The following is a 9673-nucleotide window of genomic DNA, read 5'->3' on the forward strand; positions in this document are numbered from 1 at the left end:
GGACCCACCTTTACCTCCAGATACCCTCACTTTTGGTTTTGGGTTTCAACACGGGGGGATACAAATATTCACTCATCTGAATCAAATACAGTCATCTGGTACAAATATTCAGTCAGACATCTCTAGGGACAATAGGAACAGGAGTTTAAGATACTGATTACAGTACTTGGCCATTACCATGACTCAAGAACGTTTTACATCTGTTTCCTTTTTTCTCAGTACCATATGCTCATTACAGATATTAATCAATGTCTTAGATTTCCTTTAGTTTTTCAGAAACTCTACTCAAAAATGTATCAGGTGATCCTCTGTTAATATTACTCAGAGCAGATATTAAGCCAGGTTTATTCTCTCATCACAACTGTATCTTGACTCTGAAAGTGTTTAGATCTCTACTAGAAAAATATTATTCATGTCTTAGAAAAAAATTTATTCATATAGTTTGGATATTTGTCCCCACCAAAATCTCATCTTAAAATGTAGTGCTCAGTGTTGGAGGTGAGGCCTGGTGGGAGGTGACTGAATCATGGCGGTGGATTTCTCATAAATGGCTTGGCACCATTCCCTTGGTCATGTCCTCAAGACAGTGAGTGAGTTCTCATGAGAACCGGTCATTTAAAAGTGTGTGGCACCTCCAATCAGCCCCTCCTTCTGCTTTTGCCATGTGACATGTGTGGTCCCTGAGGCTTCCCTGAGAAGATGCCGGTGGCATGCTTTTGGTACAGCCTGCAGAACCATGAGCCAATTAAAGCTCTTTTCTTTATAAATTACCCAGTCTCAGGTATTTTTTTATGGCAGTGAAAGAACAGCCTTACACAAGTATAAATGTGAAACTTAAAAATAACACACAGATGTCCACAGATGAAGGTGGAAATATGACATGGAGGAAAACATGTTCACCTTTAACTTCATGGATAAAGGTAAAATTGAAATTGTCTAATTTGATTATAAATCTATAACTCATGGACCTACATGCTAAAGGTAAAATGTTATACGTTAGAAAGTACTTGAAAAAAATACTTAATCAAAATCAAAAATAGATGAGAGGAGGTGGACTAAGATGGCCAAACAGAAGCCTCCAGCAATTGTCACCCCCATAAGAACACCAAAATGAACAACTATCCACACAAGAAACCACCTTCATAAGAACCAAAAATTGGATGAATGATCATGGCACATGATTTTAACATCATAACAAGAAAAGAGGCACTGAAGAGGATAGGAAAGAAAATCTTGAATTGTTAACACCATCCCTCCCTTATCTCCCAGCAGCATCCATGTTGTACAGGAGGGAATCAGTGCACTTGGGGAAGGCAGAGCACAGCGACTGTAGGACTTTGCAATGAAACTCAGTGCTGCCTGCCGTAGCAGAAAGCAACACTTGGCAGAATTCAGCTGGCACCCATGGAGGGAACATTTAGACCAGCTCTAGCCAGAAGGGAATCATCCAACCCAACAGTCAGAACTTGAGCTCTGGCTAGCTCTACCACTGCAGGCTAAAGTGCCCTTGGGTTCTAAATAAACTTGAATGGCCATCTAGGACATAAGGACTAAAAGTCCTGGGTATGTCTGGGTACTGTTCTGGGCTTAGAGCCAGTGGACATGGAATGCATGTGACCTGGTAAGACACCAGGGAGTGATTGGGTCACCGCTCCCCCAACCCCGGGCAGTGCAACTGCAAGTGCCAGGAGAGATTCCTTTCTTCTTAAAGAGAGAAGAGGAGACAGTAATGAGAACTTTGTCTTGCAACTTGGATACCAGTTTAGCCACAGTAGAATAAGGCACCAGGCAGAGAACAGAGGCCCTCATTCCAGGCCCTAGCTCCCAGATAACATTTCTAGACATAAAGTGGACCAGAAGGGAGCACACTGCCTTGAAGGGAAGGACTCAGCTTTGGAAGGATCCATCACCAGGTGACTAAAGAGCCCTTGGTCCTTGAATAAACATCAGTGGTAGCCAGGTAGTACTCACTACGAGCCTGGAGTAATACTCAGGGCCATACTGGCTTCAGGTCAGAACCATCTAATATCGAGATTAGGAAGAAACAGCATCAACTAACGAGCAAAATAACCAGCTAACATCACAATGACAGGATCAAATTCACACAAAACAATATTAACTTTAAATGAAAATGGACTAAATGCTCCAATTAAAAGACACAGACTGGCAAATTGGATAAAGAGTCAAGACCCATCAGTGTGCTGTATTCAGGAAACACATCTCACGTGCAGAGACACACATAGGCTCAAAATAAAAGGATGGAGGAAGATCTACCAAGGAAATGGAAAACAAAAAAAGGCAGGGGTTGCAATCCTAGTCTTTGATAAAACAGACTTTAAACCAACAAAGATTGAAAGAGACAAAGAAGGCCATTACATAATGGTAAAGGGATCAATTCAACAAGAAGAGCTAACTATCCTAAATATATATGCACCCAATACAGGAGCACCCAGATGCATAAAGCAAGTCCTGAGTGACCTGCAAAGAGACTTAAACTCCCACACAATAATAATGGGAGATTTTAACACCCCACTGTCAACATTAGACAGATCAATGAGACAGAAAGTTAACAAGGATACCCAGGAATTGAACTCAGCTCTGCACCAAGCAGACCTAATAGACATCTACAGAACTCTCCACCCCAAATCAACAGATTATACTTTTTTTCAGCACCACACCATACCTATTCCAAAATTGACCACATAGTTGGAAGTAAAGCTCTCCTCAGCAAATGTAAAAGAACAGAAATTATAACAAACTGTCTCTCAGACCACAGTGCAATCAAACTAGAACTCAGGATTAAGAAACTCACTCAAAACCGCCCAACTACATGGAAACTGAACAACCTGCTCCTGAATGACTACTGGGTACATAACGAAATGAAGGCAGAAATAAAAAGATGTTCTTTGAAACCAATGAGAACAAAGACACAACATACCAGAATCTCTGGGAAACATTCAAAGCAATGTGTAGAGGGAAATTTATAGCACTAAATGCCCACAAGAGAAAGCAGGAAAGATCCAAAATTGACACCCTAACATCACAATTGAAAGAACTAGAAAAGCAAGAGCAAACACATTCAAAAGCTAGTAGAAGGCAAGAAATAACTAAAATCAGAGCAGAACTGAAGGAAATAGAGACCAAAAAAACCCATCAAAAAATTAATGAATCCAGGAGCTGGTTTTTTGAAAGGATCTACAAAATTGATAGACCGCTAGCAAGACTAATACAGGAAAGAAGAGAGAAGAATCAAATAGATGCAATAAAAAATGATAAAGGGGATATCACCACCATTCCCACAGAAATACAAACTACCATCAGAGAGTACTAGAAACACCTCTACGCAAATAAACTAGAAAATCTAGAAGAAATGGATAAATTCCACGACACATAAACTCTCCCAAGACTAAACCAGGAAGAAGTTGAATCTCTGAATAGACCAAAAACAGGCTCTGAAATTATGGCAATAATCAATAGCTTACCAACCAAAAAGAGTCCAGGACCAGACGGATTCACAGCCGAATTCTACCAGAGGTACAAGGAGGAACTGGTACCATTCCTTCTGAAACTATTCCAATCCATAGAAAAAGAGGTAATCCTCCCTAACTCATTTTATAAGGCCAGCATCATCCTGATACCAAAGATGGGCAGAGATACAACCAAAAAAGAGAATTTTAGACCAATATCCTTGATGAACATTGATGCAAAAATCATCAATAAAATACTGGCAAACCGAATCCAGCAGCACATCAAAAAGCTTATCCACCATGATCAAGTGGGCTTCATCCCTGGGATGCAAGGCTGGTTCAATATATGCAAATCAATAAATGTAATCCAGCATATAAACGGAACCAAAGACAAAAACCACATGATTATCTCAATAGATGCAGAAAAGGCCTTTGACAAAATTCAACAATGCTTATTGCTAAAAACTCTCAATAAATTAGGTATTGATGAGATGTATCTCAAAATAATAAGAGCCATCTATGACAAACCCATAGCCAATATCATACTGAATGGGCAAAAACTGGAAGCATTCCCTTTGAAAACCGGCACAAGACAGGGATGCCCTCTCTCACCACTCCTATTCAACATAGTATTGGAAGTTCTGGCCAGGGCAATTAGGCAGGAGAAGGAAATAAAGGGTATTCAATTAGGAAAGGAGTAAGTCAAATTGTCCCTGTTGGCAGACGACATGATTGTATATACAGAAAACCCCATTGTCTCAGCCCAAAATCTCCTTAGGCTGATAAGCAACTTCAGCAAAGTCTCAGGATACAAAATCAATGTACAAAAATCACAAGCATTCTTATACACCAACAACAGACAAACAGAGAGCCAAATCATGAGGGAACTCCCATTCACAATTGCTTCAAAGAGAATAAAATACCTAGGAATCCAACTTACAAGGGATTTGAAGGACCTCTTCAAGGAGAACTACAAACCACTGCTCAAGGAAATAAAAGAGGATACAAACAAATGGAAGAACATTCCATTTCAATATCGTGAAAATGGCCATACTGCCCAAGGTAATTTATAGATTCAATGCCATCCCCATCAAGCTACCAATGACTTTCTTCACAGATTTGGAAAAAACGACTTTAAAGTTTATATGGAACCAAAAAAGAGCCCGCATCGCCAAGTCAATCCTAAGCCAAAATAACAAAGCTGGAGGCATCATGCTACCTGACTTCAAACTATACTACAAGGCTACAGTAACCAAAACAGCATGGTACTGGTACCAAAACAGGGATATAGATCAATGGAACAGAACAGAGCCCTCAGAAATAATGCCACATATCTACAACTATCTGATCTTTGACAAACCTGAGAAAAACAAGCAATGGGGAAAGGATTCCCTATTTAATAAATGGTGCTGGGAAAACTGGCTAGCCATATGTAGAAAGCTGAAACTGGATCCCTTCCTTACACCTTATACAAAAATTAATTCAAGATGGATTAAGGACTTAAATGTTAGACCTAAAACCATAAAAACCCTAGAAGAAAACCTAGGCATTACCATTCAGGACATAGGCATGGGCAAGGACTTCATATCTAAAACACCAAAAGCAATGGCAACAAAAGCCAAAATTGACAAATGGGATCTAATTAAACTAAAGAGCTTCTGCACAGCAAAAGAAACTACCATCAGAGTGAACAGGCAACCTACAAAATGGGAGAACATTTTCACAACCTACTCATTGGACAAAGGGCTAATATCCAGAATCTACAATGAACTCCAACAAATTTACAAGAAAAAAACAAACAACCCCATCAAAAAGTGGGCAAAGGATATGAACAGACACTTCTCAAAAGAAGACATTTATGCAGCCAAAAAACACATGAAAAAATGCTCATCATCACTGGCCATCAGAGAAATGCAAATCAAAACCACAATGAGATACTATCTCACACCAGTTAGAATGGCAATCATTAAAAAGTCAGGAAACAACAGGTGCTGGAGAGGATGTGGAGAAATAGGAACACTTTTCCACTGTTGGTGGGACTGTAAACTAGTTCAACCATTGTGGAAGTCAGTGTGGCAACTCCTCAGGGATCTAGAACTAGAAATACCATTTGACCCAGGTATCCAATTACTGGGTATATAACCAAAGGACTATAAATCATGCTGCTATAAAGACACATGCACAAGTATGTTTACTGCGGCACTATTCACTATAGCAAAGACCTGGAACCAACCCAAATGTCCATCAATGATAGACTGGATTAAGAAAATGTGGCACATATATACCATGGAATACTATGCAGCCATAAAAAAGATGAGTTCATGTTCTTTGTAGGGACATGGATGAAATTGGAAATCATCATTCTCAGTAAACTATCGCAAGGACAAAAAACCAAACACCGCATATTCTCACTCATAGATGGGAATTGAACAATGAGAACACATGGACACAGGAAGGGGAACATCACACTCTGGGGACTGTTGTGGCGTGGGGGGATGGGGGAGGGATAGCATTAGGAGATATATGTAATGCTAAATGATGAGTTAATGGGTGCAGCACACCAGCATGGCACATGTATACATATGTAACTAACTGGCACATTGTGCACATGTACCCTAAAACTTAAAGTATAATAATAATAATTTAAAAAAAAGAAAAATAAATAAATAAATAAAAAGACCATCTAGGAAAACATGACCTCACCAAACTAAATAAGGCACCACTAACTCATCCTAGATGTATGTGACCTTTCAGACAGAGAATTATAAAAGTTGTTTTAAGGAAGCTCAAAAACATTCAAGATAACACAGAGAAGGAATTCAGAATTTTACCTGATGAATTTAACATTGAAATTAAAATGATATTTAAAAATCAAGCAGAAATTCTAGAGCTGAAAAATTCAACTGCTATACTGAAGAATGCATCAGAGTCTCTGCAGCAGAGCTGATCAAGCAGAAGAAAAATCAGTGTAATTGAAGACAAGCTATTTGAAAATGCACAGTTGGGGAGACAAAGAATAAAAAAGAAAGAAGCATACCTACAAGATCTAGAAAATAGCCTCAAAAGGGTAAATCTAAGAGTTATTGGCCTTAAAGAGGAGGTAGACAGAAATATCAGGGTGGAAAGCTTATTGAAAGGGATAATCACAAAGAACATTACAAATCTAGAGAAAAATATTCATATTCAAATAAAAGAAGGTTGCAGAACACCTAAGGAAGATTAAACTCAGATAAGACTACCTCTTCTCAGCAAACTATCGCAAGGACAAAAAACCAAACACCGCATGTTCTCACTCATAGGTGGGAATTGAACAATGAGAACACATGGACACAGGAAGGGGAACATAACACACCGGGTCCTGTTGTGGGCTGGGGGGAGCGGGGAGGGATAGCATTAGGAGATATACCTAATGTTAAATGCCGAGTTAATGGGTGCAGCACACCAACATGGCACATGTATACATATGTAAGAAACCTGCACGTTGTGCACATGTACCCTAAAACTTAAAGTATAATTAAAAAAACAGAAAATTACAAGGAAATAAAAAAGACTACCTCAAGACATTTAATAATCAAACTCCCAGAGGTCAAGGATAAGGAAAGGATCTTAAAAGCATCAAGAGTAAAGAAACAAACAATATAAAAAGCAGCTCTAATATCTCTGGCAGCAGACTTCTCAGTGGAAACCTTACAAGCCAGGACAGAGTGGCATGACATATTTAATGTGCTGAAGGAAAAATACACATATTCTAGAATAGTATATCCAGTAAAAATACACTTCAAACAAGAAGGAGAAATAAAGACTTACCCAGACAAACAAAAGCTGAGGGTTTTTATCAACACCAGAATTGTCCTACAAGAAATGCTAAAGGGAGTTCTTCAATCTGAAAGAAAAGGTCATTAACAAGCAATAAAAAATCATCTGAAGGTACAAAACTTACTGGTAATTGTAAATACACAGAGAAACACAGAATATTATAACACTGTAATTGTGGTATGTAAATTACTAATATCTTGAGTAGAAAGACAAAAATATGAACCTACAAAAAATTTCAGAAACCATTTAAGACATACACAGTATAATAAGATATAAGTAGAAATAATAAAGTTAAAAAGCAATGGGGAGGGGGATGAAGTTAAAGTGTAGAGTTTTTATTACTTTTTTTGCTTCTTTGTTAATCTGTTTGTTCTTGCAATCAATGTTAACTTATCAGTTGAAAATAATGGATTAAATGATGTTATTTGCAAGACTCATGGTAAACTGAAGTAAAAAACCTACAATGGATACACAAAAATAAAAAGAATAAATTAAAACATACGAGCAGAGAAAATTACCTTTACTAAATGGGAGACAGGAAAGAAGAAAGGATGAAAAAAGCAAGGAAGAAAAGAAGAAAGGGAGGGACGGAGGGAGGGAGGGAGGGAGGGAGGGAGGGAGGAAGGAAGGAAGGAAGGAAGGAAGGAAGGAAGGAAGGAAGGAAGGAAAATATCACAAAACAACCAAAAAACAAATAATGAAATGGTAGGAGTAAATTCTGACTTAATAATAATAACATTGAATGTAACTGGACTAAATTCTCTAATCAAAAGACATGGAGTAGTTGAATGAGAAAAAGAAGACCCAATGATTTCTTGCCTACAGGAAACATACTTCACCTATAAAGACACACACTGACAGAAAATAAAGATACGAAAAACAGTATTTCATGCAAAAGAGTGGGAGTAGCTATACTTAGACAAAATAGATTTCAAGACAACAACTATAAAAAGAGACAAAGAAGGTCATTATATAATGATAAAGGGGTCAATTCAGCAAGAGTATACAATAACCAAATATATATAAACTCAACACTGGAGCACCCAGATATATAAAGCAAATATTACTAGCTAAAGAGAGAGAGAGGCCTCAATATAATAATAGCTGGAGACTTCAACACTCCCCTTTCAGCATTGGACAGATCATCCAGACAGGAAATTAACAAAGAAACATTGGGCTTAATCTGCACTATAGGCCAAATGGATCTAGCAAATATTTACAGAACATTCCATCCAATGGCTGTAGAATACACATTATTCTCCTGAGCACATGAATTATTCTCAAGGGTAGACCATATGTTAGGTAACAAAACAAGTCTTAAAACATTTAAAAATATTTAATCATGTAAAGTATCTTCTCTGGACACATGAGATAAAACTAGAAGTCAATAACAGGAGGAAATTTGGAAGCTGTACAAACATGGAAATTAAACAATATGCTCCTGAATGACCAATGTGTCAATGGAGATTAAGAAGAAAATTTAAAAATTTCTTGAAACAAATGAAAAGGAAAACCTAACATACCAAAGCTTATGGGATACAGCAAAAGCAGTACTAAGAGAAAATTGTATAGCAATAAATGCCTACATCAAAAAGTAGAAAAATTTCAAATAAACAACCTAAACTAGAAAAAAAGCAAGAGCAAACTAAACCCAAAATTGGCAGAATAAAATAAATAATAAAGATCAAAGCATAAATAAATAAAATTTAAATTAAAAATACACATGATCGACAAAACTAGTTGTTTTTTGAAAAGTAAACAAAATTGACAAACCTTCAGCTATACTAACAAAGAAAAAAGAAGAAAACCCACATAAATAAAATCAGAGATAAAAGAGGAGACATTACAACTCACACCACAGAAATTCAAAGGATTAGTAGAGACTATTATGAGCAACGATATGTCAAAAAATTGGAAAACCTAGAAGAAATGGATACGTTCCCAGACATATACAACATAAGAAGATTGAACTATGAAGAAATCCACACCTGAATTGATCAATAACAAATAATGAGACCAAAGCTGTAATAAAAAGTCTCCCACCAATGAAAATCCTAGGACCCAATGGCTACACTGCTGAATTCTACCAAACATTTAAAGAAGAACTAATATCAATCCTGCTCAAACTATTCCAAAAAATAGAGGAGGAAGAAATACTTACAAACTCATTCTACAAGGCCAGTAGTACCCTGATACCAAAAGCAGACAAAGACATATCAAAAAAGGAAAACTACAGGCCAATATCTCCAATGAATATTGATGCAAAAATTCTGAATAAAATCCTAGCAAACCCAGATCAACAATATATTTTAAAAAATCATGCATCATGATCATATAGTATTTATCCCAGAGATGTAAGGATAGTTCAATATGCACAAATCAATCAATGT

Source organism: Homo sapiens, chromosome 12 (genome assembly GCF_000001405.40).
Source record: "Homo sapiens chromosome 12, GRCh38.p14 Primary Assembly".
NCBI classification, from domain to species: Eukaryota; Metazoa; Chordata; class Mammalia; order Primates; family Hominidae; genus Homo; species Homo sapiens.